Source organism: Homo sapiens, chromosome 1 (assembly GCF_000001405.40).
Source record: "Homo sapiens chromosome 1, GRCh38.p14 Primary Assembly".
In the NCBI taxonomy this organism is placed as follows: Eukaryota; Metazoa; Chordata; class Mammalia; order Primates; family Hominidae; genus Homo; species Homo sapiens.
The window spans coordinates 158,763,758-158,781,288 of NC_000001.11; the positions used below are offsets into that span (position 1 = coordinate 158,763,758).

Consider the following 17,531-nt stretch of genomic DNA (forward strand, 5'->3'; position numbering starts at 1 on the left):
GAATGCTTCCAGTTTTTGCCCATTCAGTATGATATTGAGAAGGGGAACATCACACACTGGGGACTGTTGTGGGGTTGGGGGATGGGGGAGGGATAGCATTAGGAGATACTCCTAATGCTAAATGATGAGTTAATGGGTGCAGCACACCAACATGGCACATGTATACATATGTAAAAAACTTGCACGTTGTGCACATGTACCCTAAATAAAATAATAATGAAATAAAATAAAATAAAATAAAAAAGAAAATAATAGGGGCAAATTTACCTAGCATAGATTTAGTGATACTTAGTCATCAAAAATGTCCAGGACAAAAAATTTTACCAAAAGTCAAACACAACTTGTTTTTAATAATTTTATTTCTTGTCATTTTTATTCTAGATGAAACACTAAATGAAATATATTTATAAATAGAATGCTACATATATAAATAGAACAATTCAAGTTCCCATTTGATAGAGTATAATATTTTGAATTCCTGGTGATTATTTAATGTAAAAACATTTATCTGCTTAAAATTCTCAATAAACTTCAAAGACAAGTGAAAAAAAAGGAGAATGCATGTTTATCTTAATACTACTTCCCACAATTATAATTAATTATAACTAATTATAAATTAATTATAATTTTAATATTTATATTCTCAACTCTTTTAAAACACCCTAAAGGTAGGACCTGGACATATATATGTCTTGTTCATTGCTTTTGTAGAGTTGACACTGCATCTGATATATAGTAAGAGCTAAATAAACGTGTTAATTTGAATGCATGGATGGATGAATACCTTTAAAAGTGTGGTATTAAAAATATTTTGTAATCTTCTTAGGAAGTTCTATAGAATTCAAAGATTTCTTGTAGTTAATATTTGATCCTCCATTCATGGAAGGATACATAAAGAATACATAATATTAGCTATTAATTGAATCCCCAGATCTCTCATATGCTACATTTTAGAATTATTTTTCACACGTTTCAGGAAATAATTAGCTTACAATTCAATAAAGAAATGGTTCGATGTAAAAAGTAATCCTATTTCTTTCCACTGACTCAACTCCTATACTTTCATACATTATACTGGCCATAGATATTAGGACCACTAAGACAGGTACATGAAACTTGTCAGAACAGAACTGTGACAAACTATACTTTTCAAGTATAGTATACTTGTATACTATACAAGTATTCCTTCTGGCTGGTTTGCTCCTTTCCTTTGGAGAAAATACTTGGAAAGTATTTTTGTTTATTTATGTTTTACTAGATATTGTTCTAAGACCCAGAGTAATGATGTGAAGTCTTCGCAGAATAAAATAAATAAAAACAAGTCCTTATTTATTTACTATCACCTACATGTCAGACACTGTGCACTGTGGTTTACAAATCTTAACGTTAATATTCAAAACACTCTTCAAGAAAATACCATTATCAAATAATGAAATTAAGACTCAGAGATGCTAAGTTACTTTCTAAAGATTAAGTAATTAGCAAGTGACTGAATAAAACATGATTTAAATCCAGATATATATGAGTTCAAAAAACATGCTTTTTTCTACTGTACCAGTCTTCTCCACATGAAATGATTGCAAGTGGTACAAAAAACATCATGAATCACATTTTGTTTAGGACATGCCTGACTATATTTATATTAAGTCAAGTAAATTTGAAAAATGCCTATAAACGTATAATAGGTAAGACACAGATTTTAAAAAAAACCTAAGTGTGATACATAAACATCTGAGTTTTGAAAATCACTGCACTACATCATGTTGAAGGGATGTGTACTTTCCCTAGTCTCTGGTCTCAAGCCAAATGTGGCTCCAGCAGACAGTATGAAGGTCGCTATAACACTGGAAGTCAGTCAGCACTTGCTGCAGCTCCACCACCCCACATAGAAAAGCACTGAATTTTTAGTTTCTCGTCTCTGGCCACTGTTGATCCCTGGGGCCACCATATCCTCAGGCCCGGCCTTGGCCTACTCTCAGCCCCAACTCATGCCAATATCCCAATTCTCTTTAGCTGCCTCCTCACAGCCTCCTTGATCTCCTTGTTGCGCAAGCTGTAGATGAAGGGGTTGAGGAAGGGTGTGAGCACTGAGTAGACCACTGCCAGGGCCTGGTCATAGTCCAGTGAGTAGCTCTTCTTCAGCTGCACATACATGGAAAGGATGCTCCCATAGAAGATGAGAACCACAGTGAAGTGGGAGGCACACGTGGAGATGGCCTTCCTCTTGCCGGCAGCTGAGGGAATTCTGAGCACTGTGCAGATGATCTGCACATAGGAGCAGAGGATCAGCAGGAAGGTGGCTAGGATCTTGCAGGAATTTATAACAAAATCTACTAGGACATTTATAGACGTATCAGTGCAAGCCAAACTCAGCACAGGAGGGAAGTCACAAAAGACGTGCTGAATGCGATTGGGGCCACAGAATGGGAGGCGTGAAATCAAGGAAATTTCAACTACTGGCCCAGCCAAGCCTCCCAACCAACAGCCAATGGCAATCTCTGCACAAAGTGTTGGGGTCATGAGGGTTGGGTAGTGGAGGGGCCGGCAGATGGCTAAATACCTATCGTAGGCCATAGCTGTCAGGAGATAGCACTCAGTCGCTCCAAGGGAGTGAAAGAAATAGATCTGCAGGAGACACCCAGAGAATGAAATGGTCTTTTTCTCACTGAGCAAGTTTGCCAGCATCTTAGGGATGGTGGCAGCTGTATAGCCAAGCTCTGAGAAGGAGAGAATGCTGACAAAGTGGTACATGGGTGTGTGAAGCCGGGAGTCCAGGCAGACCACCAGGAATATCAGCAGGTTTCCCAACACAGTCATGAGGTAAATGAGAAGCAACAAGAGGAAGAGATAAATCTGGACACCCTGGAGATGGGGGAAGCCCAAGATGATGAATTCTGCTACCTGGCTCCAGTTCCCTGTGTCCATTGCTCACCATTCATGTCCCTAGATGTGAAGTGTGGAAGGATAGGAAAGAAAGTTGAACTATAGGGTTCTAACAAGAAGGCAACCCTCAAATTACTATTGCCCTCCCTTCTCTCACCTCCAGAGTAAAGCCCTCTAAGTAAATGCTTTGAGAGGTCAACATTTCAATTCCATCCCTCCCTGCCCTTCCTGTCAACAGCCTCCTTCAGACTATTCACCTTTATGTTTAGTCTTCCCTGATTAACACAGCTCATTTTTGGCCTTCCTAATCCATCCTGTAACCCAGTTGACTTTCTCAATAGAATCTATATAGATTTTAGAAATTTAGGTATTTCTAATCCAAGGTATATATTAACATTTATACATATTGTTCATCTAAGGTAAAAATCATCATTTATACTGATAATATATTGATACCGTACTGGACCAAATATATATAATTTGAATATTATTTTCTAATTTCTCATTTTAATTTGTTTTCTTCTTCAACTTTCTGGCTACCAAAGAATCAATTGTTTTCCCTTCTGCTCCCTCCTATTCCTTTATGAGAACTCAGGTCTGCTAGCATCTTTCAGGGGCATGTAGGTCAGAATTTAGACCTCTTTTGGACACTGGTGAGAGCTCCAGTCAAAAATAAGAAGGTTAGAGTAAATAAAAAAGCCAAAGAAAGACAGGAGGCAAATCTATCTTTCTGCATTTCAACTTCAGACTGTGGCCACTTCATCAGTTCTTCCTGCCATTTCCCCCTCTATCAACTTCAAATGCTCTTTTCTGGTTTATTGCTTCTGTAGATATTAAATATACATGCTCTACTGTGTTGAGGTCAATGTAACAATAATTGATTATTTTCAGTACTCTGGGCATTATACTTAGAACAGGGACTAAACAAATAAAATGTGGCACCTGATGTTAACAAACTAATATTGTAATACAGAGTATAGAGAAACAACTAACTATTATACAGCTCTTTCATGGAATACTCTATCAATGTAAAAACATGCTATTATTCTCATCTACTAAACAAACAAAAAAGCAAGAGCCTTAAATTCTTTCTCTTTACTCATCCCACAGCCACTGCTCTATTTCTTTCTATGTCCCTAAAAGAAAACTCTTCCAAGAGTCGGCTATACGCATTGCCTTTAATGCCTCTCTTTAAGTTTCTTCTTAAACCCACTCTAATTAGATTTATACTACCACCACTCCATTAAAACCTCCTTTCTCATAGACATTAATTATCTAAGATTTCCTGGATCCAATGGTCATTTCTCATTCCTCAGCTTACTTGGACTATCTGTTTCTTGACAGTATTGATTTATCCAGCCTGTTCACACACTTCCTTGACTTGATTCTCGGGGTACTATACTTTTGGTTACTTTCTATCTTATTAGTCATTCCTTCTCATTCTCCAACTTTAGTTTCTCCTCCATGCCCCATCCTTTTAATGTCACAGTGCCCATGGTCAGTGTTTAATCTTTTTTTTTTCTCTTCTATATAAACTCAACTCCTCTGCTCTATACCATCCAATACCAGAGCTTTAAACACTATAAATGTGTTGAAGACATCTAAATCCATATCTCAGGCGATATTTTTCTCTGCTACTCCAGACTCATATATTTCACTGCCTACTCACATCTCCTCTTGGGAGTCGAAGAGCCATCTCAAACTGAACTCCTGGGGTCTCTACCCCTAGTCTTCCCCATCACAAATGATGGCAATTGCAATCTTTCAACTGACAAGCTAAACTCCTGCAGTCATCCTTGTTTCTATCTTTCTCTCATATATCCAGGAACTGACTATGTTTGACCACCTCGGTCCAAGTCACTTTTATCTCTCCCCTCTTACTGTAATTGACTCCTAACAGATCTCCCTACTTGCATTTGTTCACTTGTAGCCTCATCTCAACACACCAGAGTGATCCTGTTAAATTCTAAATTAGGTTCTGCGTTTCCATCGATCAAATGTGTTCAGTGACATATCATTTAAAACCTTTGCTGTAGCTCTTTCCTTGTTCTAGAATCTCTTTCACCATTTGGATAGCTCTTTCATTTATTTCATCTTTGCTCAAATTTCACCAGCTCAACTACCTGGGCCACCCTATATAACTGCAGTGTGCCTCCATCCTTACATCCATATTCTGTACTGCTATTGCCTTTCTCTACTTAATTTTTAACTTTTTTTCCAGAGGACTTGTCATGTTCTAACCTGTAAAATGTACTTATTTCTTATTCCTATTGTTTATTGGTTCTCTCCTCTTTGATTATAAGTTCCTTAAGGGCAAAGATTTTTTTCTTTTCTATTTTGTTTACTGGTGTATGTCAAGTGCCTAGAGCCATGTCTGAAATATAGTTACAACTCAATAAATATTTATGTAATTAATATGCAAATCTATTAAGATAACTGCTAATTTGCATATGCAGTAGGAGTTACAAGCCATGGGCTGGATATGGAGATAAATCAGGAAAATTTCATAGAACACATAATTTATTATTATTATTATTATTGGAGACAGCATCTCACTCTATCACCCAGCCTGGAGTGCAGTGGCAGGATCTCTGCTCACTGTAGCCTTGACCTCCTGGGCTCAAGCAATCCTCCCACCTCCACCCCACAAGTAGCTGGGACTACAAACGTGCACCACCACGCCTGGCTAATTTTTGTGTTTTTGGTAGAGATGGGGTTTAGCCATATTGCCCAGGCTGGTCTTGAACTCCTGGGCTCAAGTGATCCACCTGCTTTGGCCTCTAAAAGTGCTGGGATTACAGGCATAAGTCACCATGCTTTGCCAGAAGATATAATTTTTATTTGAAGTGAAGAAACTGTCAGAATTTTTTAGATGGAAAAATGAAATAAAAAGTATTTGAAGCAAATGGAACTGCCTGTGCAAAGGCAGAGAGTTATGAAAGACACCGAGTCTTCTCCTTCTGCCCTCCGGTCTTCTTATCACTTCTTCCCTCTCCAGGATCCTGAAATTCATCCAAACTAACTTTGTTTACTCTGATTTTTCTTGGCATTTTTCTAAACCTAGGGAGCATGTCCATCCCATATACAAAAGCCTTTCTCAATCCAAGACTTAATATAGGATGTTTCTCTACTTAGATTCCAGAGAACTACTTCCGGGCCAAACTTTTATATGGGTGATTTTGCTTCAGAATAATTACTTTATTATCCAAAATTTCTTTGTCTTAGTTTTTCTCACCGCATATCCATGTCTATCCACTGCCCAATTCTGCCTTCTGTTTTCTTCAAGTCTTGAATGCATACCTGCCTTCTATAAAGGATTATCCCTAAATTTCTACTTCTTCTCAGACCCTTGTTTTCTAGATGTTCTATATTCCTTCCCTTCTAAATATAAATAAAAGGTTCTATTCTAGAGCTGCCTCTTTCCTTTTCTGGCCTCCAGTCCCACTCACAGATGAGTTGTCTAGACTGTGAGCCCTTAACTAAATTTTCAGATCTACATGGATGGCTGGTCAGAAGATTGAATATGAGAAGCCAGTATTTTGTCGTCTCCTTTCTCAGAAGGTAGAGTTTCCACATAACTCCAAAGACTTATTATCACACTATACATTGTATCATCACTCATTAATGACCTGCTGTTGTTCACTCCCTCCATACTCTGCCTAAGCAATCAAAGTCATCAGGATCCGATCAAGTATTATTATTTTCCACGGAAAACTAGCACCCCCAACTCCCTCATCTTCCAAGTTCACAGTTCTCAGAGGTTTGGACCATTTCCTTCTCTTTTTCACACCCCCTTTAAGATGGCAAAAAATACTGATGATTTTCCCTTTTTAAAAAATTTATTTTATTATTTCTAATTATGATTGTAACTGCTAGTACTGATAAACCTTAATTTAGTGTTGAGAGAAGCTTTAGGAACTATCACTTTCCAGTGGCCCCCATAATTTTGGATTTCACTGGATTGTTGGAATATCTGAAATGTATTATATATTTCCAACAGCTCATAAAAAGAAAAAACCTTTAAATATCACAAAAAGGAAGGCTAAAATAGAAGGATAAATCATGTGTATCAAACTTCATATTTGTACTTATGTTTCTAATTTTGATTCAGCCCAGCAAAAACTCATATCTTCTCACTCATAAAGGAATCCATATCGCCACAAATGGGCATCAACCCTCTGCCTGGATTTACAGCACTGGAAGCTTCCTGACCCATAAGACAGTTCTCTCCATTTTTGAAATGTTTTAGTTTACAACTGTCCTTTCCAATGACCAGAAACCTGGCTTTCACCATTATTCTTTGTTTTGCTCTGTGAAACAACCCTATTGCTCTGGTCCAGAGTCATGTGTTCAAACATTCTTTTCATCACCATTATAGCAATTTCAATGTTTGCCAAGTGGGTTTCTGTATTTAGCCCAGACTCCTTTGTTTGCAGTGTACCCTCACTAAAAATATGCTTTATCTTTTGTCAATCTGAAGACACTTGAATCATTTTCTAGCTCAAGTCTGTCATTTTTTTCCCTGACCATCTAAGTTAAATACTGTTCTTTCACACTTCTAAATTCTCAGTAGTACTTTCTCACTGTCCCTCCAATTATATCCTGTAATGCACTGCAATTATTTTCCAGGCATATGTCTTATCACTCCAAGGCAACTCTCTGTGAGCTTTTTGAAATTAATGAGGAAACTTCATACCATGTCCTACCTCCTAGAGTACTTAGCACAATGCCTGATATATCCGAGTTATGGTGGGTAATGAAAAAGAGGGCAATTGAGATGACTTGTGCAGCTCTTTAGCTCATCAGTTACTCATCTACTCCTATTCCTGATATTGGAATCAGGGCTCTCATAAAACCTACCACATATACAAATTTACATTTATCTTACTTAGGTCCATTGAAATCATAGTTTATTCCCCTAATTCTAGAAAGCTTTTAGAATATATGCCTTGCATTCTTTTCTTCAGATACCACAGCTGCATTATTCATAGTTCATAATTGTTTAGGCATAGGGCCAAAGATCTGGGGGTAAGAAGGGAGATGCAATTTTAGAGATTATCACACTCAACGTCTTCATTTAAAAAACGAAACAAACAAACAAACAACAAAAACTGGGATCCAGAAAGGGGAGAAGACTTGTTCCAGTTTACACAGTTAGTTAAAAATATAGCCAATTTACTAATTTTGAAGCCAGACTCTTCACTATAGCATTTGAAAAGCAGAATATCTGTTTTTAAAAATAGTTTCTGTGTTTCAATTATGTGTTTTATGGACCCTGATTATTCAAAAACCTCTCCATATTTCTGAATCCTCTAGGTCTCTTAGTGATCAGACTAAGAAGGAATGTGAAGATGAAAATGCCTGCTTGATAAAGTCTTACCTAGAGATTGTTGGTGGGGAGTGCTCTGCTAGAGCTTGACTCTGGAAGCCCAGCCACTGCTCGGAGTCCGAAGTTTGAAGAGAACTTCCTGTATACTTCCTATGTCTCATTTGCAGTATTATACCCAGCCATTCCCGGGGCCTGGAGGGGTTGAAGTTTATCACTTTGATGGAACCTGTGGGAATAAGTTAAACCATAAAACAAATTCTTCTCCCATAAAACCTGGATTCTTGATAGGGACCTCATAGAGGCAGAAGCCCATGGGCCTTCTGAGCAGACCTCCTGGGGTCACTAAAGTGCTCTCTCAGGAAGGGAACTGACATACAGCAAGTTCATTAGCCAGTAGTCCTTCATTACCTATTAGTTACTACAACAATAACTACCAGTCCAAGTTGAGATAGAACATGTCTCAAGGCAATTACTTCCTTTAGTAAATAACAATAACTGGTGTGAAAACTAGGTTCAAATGGGTTCCTGTACTGCATGACTTGGGAGTAAGCATACAACTTTCAATTATGATAGGATCTTTATAAAATTTGACTGACCTTCTTTGACCCTGAAAGGGTGAGGACAGGGAGACACTGGGGACATAAATATCATCAAGACCGACTCCTAATCTTGTCTGTTGCTCATATTTATAGCCGTTATATGTTGTCTTACACACTGCAGTCTCCTCTCTACTCTAGTGTTATCTGCTCCGTAAAGAGTGCTGCTTCAGAATCTTGGATACAATCCCAGCCATTCTTCCAAATACTTATGAGACATTAGGCACCTCACTGAGCCATGGTTGGCAATATTGCCAGAAGGGTGGATTTTGAATACTCTTGCCACAAAATAAAAATGATAAGTACTATATGTGAGGTGATAAATATGTTAATTAGCCTAATTTGATCATTCTACTCTGCATACATGTATCAAAACATCACATATATAATTATTTGTCAGATAAAAAATTTAAAAAGTATAAGGAAGATTTACTTTCCTCAGATAAAATTAATAATCAAATGTGATAATGTAAAAAAAAGTACTTACAAACTATAATATGAACTATGAGAAGAATTAAATAATTTTTGTCACTTTCTCCATCCCACCCACACTTTCAATATTCTTCATCAAAGTTTATATTTTTCTATCTCCTAATTTATTTCTGGAAGATTTTTTTTTTTCAAACTGAGTTGCCAGTATTTAATATTTTGTTTGTGGTAAATAGATATTTAACTAATAACTTAATTTTTGAGTCAAAGTATTATTTTGTTTTTTGACTAGTATACGTAGAGTTTAAGTAATAATTTTATTTACTTAATGACTAGAGGTTTATTCAGGTTTTCTAAATCCCTATAAGGCAATTAAGAGTTAAATACCCACTACCTTTTAAATTAAATTTTCCACATCTGTCAGTTTCATTTCAATTACTTCTTTTCTGTGAACTAGAATATCCTCTATTCCTAAAATATATCCATCAATTCTGCTACCCTCCCCTCCAAATGATATTCTGTCTCTATATGTGTTGGGGTAAATGTTTAACAACTGACTCCTCTAACAAAGATTCTCAATTTCATTGAACTCTAGTTCTCTTTTTGACTAAACCTCAGCCTTGGCTTACAAAATCTATAGACTGTCAGCAAAAATGATTTCATCCACCCTCCCCATCTTCCCTCCCCCACCACATGTATTAAAAGACTTAAACAAACACTAACATAGTTTCTAAGAACTCAAGGCCATAGTCTATCCTAGCACCTCTTTAAGTGCCTGCCTGAGAAAATTCAAGGCTACCAAAATAATTTATGTCTATGTGTGTGTATGTGTGTGTGTTTTTGTGTGTGTATATATATTTGTATATTTGTATATTACTGATTAAATCTGTCCTTACCACTTTAGTGCCTGCATTGTTTAGCTTTGAGATAGCCTGCCATTTTTAAAAAGCTCCTGATTTATAACATTTGCTGATTGGCATAGTGCTAATACTCCCACTGTATCTGATTCCAAGCTATTGGTTCCACAGAATTTCTAATAAGTTGTCAATCATTTCCCAAAAACTATGAGCAGACTTCAGCACGTAACTGCCTGTCTTTTTTATGGTATCACATTTCTTGAAACTGCAGCTCCATTGACTTCCTCAGTACTCACTAACCTCTCTCCCTCTTGCAATGTCTTTTACCGCCACTGTTTACAGAAAATGACTGTATATAGCAAAAATAGTAGCAATGTACTGTGTGTTTATTTTACAAAAATATATGATAAAATAGTGCGGATGACAGCAGGGAGGATTTGGAGAAAAGGACATACATATATATGCAAAGGTTCTCTACCTAGTTCATGAACCTGCTGAGATAAAACACACAACAAATCAAGAAAAGCAGATTTGTTACTCATAGACATGCAGCAATGAGAAACAGAAGCCTGGGGTTCATCACAAGCCCATTCCCACAGCTCAGGAAAGCTGCCCAGGCTGAATGAACTCTCACTACACATGCCCCACATTGTACCACAGCGGAGGGACCCAAAAAGCACTAGTCTTTGGAAAACAGTTAGACAGCTAATTATAAACATACATTTATCGTGTGACCTAGCAATCCTATACTTATGCATTTTCCCAAATGACATGAAAATTTATGTTTACGCATAACCATATCATGTTAAAAATGAATATTATCTAGGGATAGCTTACATGCCCACCAAAGTTTGTGAGTGAAAAAAAAAAATACAGATCCAGAAAATTAACCTAGTATGATGCACAGTAGCTAAGCAAGGACTAGTTACCAGTATTATCCAAGGAAATTCAAAAGGCAGATGTGAGACAAGTTGAGGTGGGATGTGCAGAAAACTGGTGAGTACAAATAGGGAAGACCGATGCATTCTATAGAACAGTGGGTTTCAGTAATGATTAGAATCATTATGTCATTGTTAAAGGCCAAATATATTATTGACCAGGTGTGGGTAAAATTCATCACATGTTTCATTCATTACGATTGCATTGAATACTCATCCTATTTAGGTGCTGTGTTAGTTTCTGGACACACAACAAATAAAAAATCTGAAATAATTTGAGACCAAATCTAGTTTATAGATACTTGTAGGAAAGAATGACAAACTATATCTATGTATATATACATAAATGTCCACAAACACATAAATTGCCATACATATTTTGAAGAGAAGCAAAACATACTTCAGAGATAAAAATGAGTGACATAAATTAGACTGAGTGTTCAGAAGTCCTCTCAAAGCTAGCATCACTGGAAATTGATATTTGAACAGAAAATCACACAATTAGGAGGAGTGAACCAAATGAAATGTTGGGGAAAAAACGGAGTGAAGATCCTGAAGCCAGAAAAATCCATAATGTATTTGAAGACCTGAAAGAGTAATCATGTAGCTAGGAAAGAGGGAGCTGAGGGAGTAGAGGTATGAATCTATGTTGAAGAGGAAGGCAGGGAAGAATTCCGTTTATAGCCTTATAAAGTATGGTGAGGCTTTGAATTTTATCTTAAGGGCAATTGAGAATTTCTCATGTTTTTATAAAATGGTATATACAATTCAGATTTCAAATACATTACTTTATATTTTATGTGGAAAATATATTAGAATAGAATGAGAGTAGGAGAAAGGAGCATGGGTAGAATATTATTACATTAATCCAATTGAGAGATGTTGGTAATTTACACCAGGGTAGAAACACTAAAGAGTATAAGAAATAAATTGATTTAAGAATATATTTTGTGAAAAGATTGTTGGCATACATTAATAATTGATTGGAATTATGGTTGTAAGAAAAGGAAGCAAAATAGAATATTTAAAATTTTCTAGAAGAAACACAAGGAAACAAAAGCATCAAGCTTTCATGGTTAGAAATTTTAAGAAATCAATTTTGACATGTTAAGTTTTAAATTATTGACAAGTCCAATCCAGGCAGTGTTGATAAGTAGGAAGTTGAATATATAAATCTAAATCTCAGAGAAAAATTGTGGTTTGGAGATAAAAATTTAAGAGGCCTTGTGATAGAGATCATATTTAAATCCATAAGAATAACTCCGAGTATCTAGGGAGATAGCACGGCAGGACAACGAAGACTGGGAAAGACTCACAAGAAAGATAAGAAAATTGGGAGGTAATGATGTCATGAGAGTTAGGGAGAGTTAAGGAGTAAAAAGTTAGGAGAATTGAGGCATAAAAACTGGTCATGTGTGTCAAGAGTTCAGGAGAGAGGAAGGAAAAGAAGTTTCTCATGGATTTGGCAGCATTGAGGTCAATAATGGCCTTCACAAAATATTAGTTGGAAGGTCTGAGCCAAAATAAGATTGGAATGGGTTGAGAAGTGGATATGAAGTAAAGAAGAGGAAATATGGTGTGTTGAGAAGTTTGATTGGAAAAAGGAACAGAGAAATCGATCTCTAGCTGGATGGAAATGTGTGGACCTAGGAAATATACATGCTTTTTTTTAAAAAAAGAAGTATGTAGATACTAAAATATTCTTAAATGCTGACATAAGTGATCGAGTAAAAAATAGAAATAAAGATGTAGAAAATGAGAAAATCATAAAGAAATGAAGTCTTTGAAGAGGTGAAAGGAAATGAAATTCAGAGCATGTGTGATGATGGGAAGATTACTCAAGGAACTTTTATGAATTGAACATTGAGGTGAGAAAGGACATGGGAAGAAAGTCAAAGATGAGCAAGACTAGCTTTATCTCCCTTCTGGAAGATGGTCCTCTTGATAGCTTTAATGATTTCCTTGTTACGAAGACTGTAGATAATTGGATTGACCATTGGTGTTAGTACGGAGTAAACTATAGCAAGTGTTCGGTCAAGGGTCAGGGAATAGCTCTTCTTTAGCCGCACATACATGAAGATGATGCTCCCAAAGAAGATGAGGACCACAGCAAGATGTGAGGCACAGGTAGAAAAGGCCTTCTTTCTTCCTGATGCTGTTTTTATCTTCAGCACAGCCCCAATGATCCTTGCATAAGAAATCATGATAAAGAAGAAAGTGATAAGAATTATGAAAGCATTAATGGCAAAGTCCACCAGAATGTTAGCAGATGTGTCCTTGCAGGCCAAGCTCAGCAAAGGTGGAAAGTCACAGAAAATGTGTTGGATTTCATTGTAAGCACAAAATGGGAGCTGGGAGGCAAGGATGACCTCAGAAATGGGACACAGGAAGCCACAAGTCCAACAAGCAGCAGCCATCTTGGCACAGAGTGTGGTGGTCATAATTATAGGGTAGTGGAGGGGCCGACAAATGGCCAGGTATCTATCATAGGCCATGGCTGTAAGAAGGTAGCATTCAGACGCTCCCAAGGAGTGGAAGAAGTAGGTCTGAAGGAGGCATCCTGCAAAAGAAATGGTTTTCTTCTCACTGAGAATATTAGACAACATCTTAGGGATAGTGGTAGCTGTATACCACAACTCCAAGAAGGAAAGAACACTGACAAAGTGGTACATAGGTGTGTGCAGAGCTGCATCCAGTCGGATGACTGAGAAGATGAGCATGTTACCACAGATGGTGAACAGGTATGCCAATAGCAGCAGGACAAAAAGCCAGCCCCTGACATAGCCCACACTGGCAAAGCCAAGGAACACAAATTCAGCCAGGCTTGAATGGTTGTATTGATCCATGGGAGGCTGAGGTAAAGAAGGAAAGAAGAAAACATTGGATTGAGATGACTGCTGAATCCATGCCAAAACTTCATTTCTCTCTCTCTCTTTTTAACTTAAAAGTAGCACTGAAATTACTACTGTTGCCCTCACTACTATTACTATTACTGTAAAAATATTAATAGCTAACTCTTATTAGCACTTACTATTCATCATTTTTACAAGTGTCTTGCATTCAATATTTACTTAATTTTTATACTTCAATGAGATAAGCACCATTGTTCTGCCTATTTTGCAAATAAGAAAACTTGGGAATAGAGAGAAGGAAGTAATTAGAACACTTTTGTATTTCCTATAGATACTATTTCACAGAAACAACATTTAGACCATCCTCAAGCATTCTAGCTCTATACTATATGACTGTTCCCAAACATTCTAACTCCTCTTCCCAGGTCATAGCTTTTCCTTCAGTAAAGACTTAAAGAGTGAATTTTGGGTATGAGATTAATGTAGTAGCAAATATTTTCCTATTGTTCAATTCACCTCTATAAACATTTATTGAACAAATATGTGTCAGGCAGAAAGAACACAAAATTCAGCAAGGTACAATCTCTGCCACCAGGCAGCTTACAACCCTGTAGAGAAGCAGACATCTCAATAGGATTTGTAAAGTACAGAACACTTCAGTGTGCCTGAGAAGTGGCTCATTTCTCAGGTCAGGATGACTGAAAAAAAACTTTTAGAGGAAGCCCGTAAGATGAATTTTCCAAGAAGATCTGGGATCAGCTGTGTAAAAGAGAAAAAGAAATATTTCAGACAAAAATAAAAGCATCGAGCAGCAAGCAGCTCACATGAAGGAAACACATGTTCCCCTCTATGGTAACCAAACTGGGAAAGCTCACTCAATGCTTTAAGACCTTAGCTCCATAGATGCAGGGCATCACTGAAGAATGTTTGCTAGATGAGTGACTGGTCAGATGTAGACTTTTAAAACATAAGTAAAATTTAACTATTCTGACCTCAAGCTCGGAGATGAAGGTGTGAATTTGCCTTGTGGGTATGGCTGACAGGAAGATGGGTTAGGGTGGTTAGCTTGTTTGGTGTAAGAATGCAGATTCGGCCGGGCATGGTGACTCACGCCTGTAATCCCAGCATTTTGGGAGGCTGAGGCGGGTAGATCACGAGGTCGGGAGATTGAGACCATCCTGGCTAACACGGTGAAACCCCGTCTCTACTAAAAATACAAAAAAAAAATCAGCCGGGCGTGGTGGCGGGCACCTGCAGTTCCCAGCTACTCCGGAGGCTGAGGCAGGAGAATGGAGTGAACCCGGGAGGTGGAGCTTGCAGTGAGCCGAGATCGCGCCACTGCACTCCAGCCTGGGCGACAGTGCGAGACTGCGTCTCAAAAAAAAAAAAAAGAATGCAGATTCAAAAACAAACATGATAGAGTGGCAATAAACATGCATCTTGTGTTTTCATAAAATCAATTATATAAATACAGGTGAAGAGTATATAGCTGGCTTGGTGAAATTTCATACAAAATAGTATTGGACATTCTAATTATTCTTAAGCAAAATGTGTAACAGATGCAAAAAGAAAACAATAACAAAAATTCACAATGCAACTTTAAATGCATAAAATGGCAACCAGTGCCAGTCACACCATACCCTGTGTAGATCATACTGCAATTGAAGAGAACCGCCCAATTCTAGTTATCATACTGACAAACCAGCCTCTTGCTTATTTTCATCATCCTGACACTCGTCACAATGGCTGTCACATTAAAAGTATTCAATAAGATATTAATAACCAAACGAATTCATTTAAACAATTCATTTAATAATTAGTAGACCAATACTTTCCTTGCAACTCTACCACTCAGCCAATGCCGAACATTTCTTTCAAACTCAAATGCCCTGCAGTAGAAATGAACTTCTGGGTTTGATATTTTAGAATACTAAATTCATTGAAAGCAACTGATACTTAAAAGACTCTTCTTGATTCTCTTCTAACCTAAAGAGACTGTACATTCACCTCTCCAATTACAGGAGACAGATATGTTAAAAAAAGAAATTCTCGCTTCATTACATTTCCTTTGCTTCTAAGTCATCTCTCTTCTCTCCATCTGGGAACTGCTTCTTATCCTTCAAAATGAGATCAAATCTTAACTCCTTAAATATACTTTTACTGAATCCCTCAGAAAAAGAATTATTTATTCATTTTCTATGCCCTCATAATATTTACATTTAGCATATTGTTACCTTTTTAACAAGTCTGTCTTCCCCAAAAATTGTTAAGATCTTTGAGAGCAAATGTAGTACTTCATTAATTATTATATATTTCCCTGCTGATGCCTGGAACAGTAGGCATAGAATTGTGAAATCAATTAATGTTTTATTTTAGCCTAAATTTAAGTTACATTTTCTCTTTTGCACCTGAACACATCCCTTTTGTTGTCTTCTTAGCAATACAAAGCTTACAGTATTCTAATAAACTTAGCGTCTCACATTTAGTCTGGCCTCAACTTTCCCTAATCCTGTTGAAAGACCTATCATTGTTCCCACTGACCCAGAGAAATTAAATTCAAGAAATAGTTTTGATCATCTTTTGTGTGCAAGGAACTGTTGTTGGTAATGTTTCCCCTTTATACAAGTTAGCTTTTCTGAAGCCAACTGTATGTGTAGAACAAGTAAGGCCTAGCAAACATAATAATTTCAGGAGCACCCTAAAGGCCTCTGGACCCCAAATTATTGCATGATCAAATGTCTTTAATCTTCCACATAGAAAATCTGTGTAAGGCCTTCTCTGGGATAAGCATTTTCAAATGCAGCTTCTCCTGAGAGAATACAATATAGATGCTCCTCGACTTACAAAGGGGTTACAGCCCAATAAACCTATCATAATGAAGATAAGCTGAAAACGCATGTAATATACCCAAACATCATATGTTAGCCTAGCCTCCCTTATATGTGCTCAGAGAACTTGCATTAGCCTACAGTTGGGCAAAATCATCTAACACAAAGCCTATTTTATAATAAGGTATTGAATATCTCATGTATTAATCTGTTGAATATGTATTGCTTTCATACTGTTGTAAAGTAGAAAAATTGTAAGTAGAATTATCGTTCATTGGGGACTGTCTATAACTCATTAGATGTTCTCAGTCACAGCCTCTATTTTATGAATAATTGTTTTAGAAACCTCTGCCTTCTACCATCTGTGTCAGCACTTGACCAATCTGTGACAGCACACACATAAGATAATTTCTTGTCTCTCTACCTTTTAAAAGCAAATGTTTGCTAATCTCTTGGTTGTAGAATGAATTAAGAACCAAATGGAGGGAATGGTGGACAAGATGACCTTTAAAGTTTCTTCCAAATCTGATACTCTAAGATTATCAAAATTGAATTATTTCAAGTCCCAGTTGCTTAACTCACATTTTCACTAGACCAATTGTTGGATTTCAAAGTAGTATCTATTTTCAAATCCCTTATTATCAGTCCCACCTTTCCAATCCCTGATCAATATAGTTAATGTGCCCCTTAGTTCACCTACCAACCACTGAACACTATTCAGTGTCTGCTTTGATCTTGCCTGGATCAGTATATGTGTGGGAAATGGAAACTGGATCTATAAGCCTTTTCTCCTTTACAGCAAGTCTCATCCTCCTGAGG

General features: G+C 37.1%; 2 protein-coding genes across 5 annotated transcripts in view; both read right to left on the reverse strand.

The window, feature by feature from the left end:
* Positions 1 to 478: 478 nt before the first annotated feature.
* The window catches only part of OR6N1 (olfactory receptor family 6 subfamily N member 1), a 76,161-nt gene continuing 59,108 nt past the window's right edge, over positions 479 to 17,531 (reverse strand). For all 4 annotated transcript variants that reach the window (XM_017000325.2, XM_017000327.2, XM_017000326.2 and 1 more), the window contains 2 exons: positions 8,264 to 8,438; positions 479 to 2,943 (listed from right to left, as the gene is read on the reverse strand). In XM_017000325.2, the coding sequence (XP_016855814.1) occupies positions 1,987 to 2,925 (939 nt within the window). In that variant the 5' untranslated portion in view covers positions 2,926 to 2,943; positions 8,264 to 8,438 and the 3' untranslated portion in view covers positions 479 to 1,986. Of the gene's footprint in view, positions 2,944 to 8,263; positions 8,439 to 17,531 lie in introns of those variants that run through there.
* OR6N2 (olfactory receptor family 6 subfamily N member 2) lies at positions 10,465 to 17,447 on the reverse strand. The gene is made up of 2 exons (NM_001005278.2): positions 17,413 to 17,447; positions 10,465 to 13,884 (listed from the first exon to the last, which is right to left on the reverse strand). Exon 2 carries the CDS (start codon positions 13,876 to 13,878, stop codon positions 12,925 to 12,927), a length of 954 nt encoding a protein of 317 aa, NP_001005278.1. The 5' UTR covers positions 13,879 to 13,884; positions 17,413 to 17,447; the 3' UTR covers positions 10,465 to 12,924.

Bases quoted from the DNA above. Each gene is read 5' to 3' on its own strand.
- OR6N2 (NM_001005278.2), bottom strand. From the start codon at position 13,878: ATGGATCAATACAACCATTCAAGCCTGGCTGAATTTGTGTTCCTTGGC.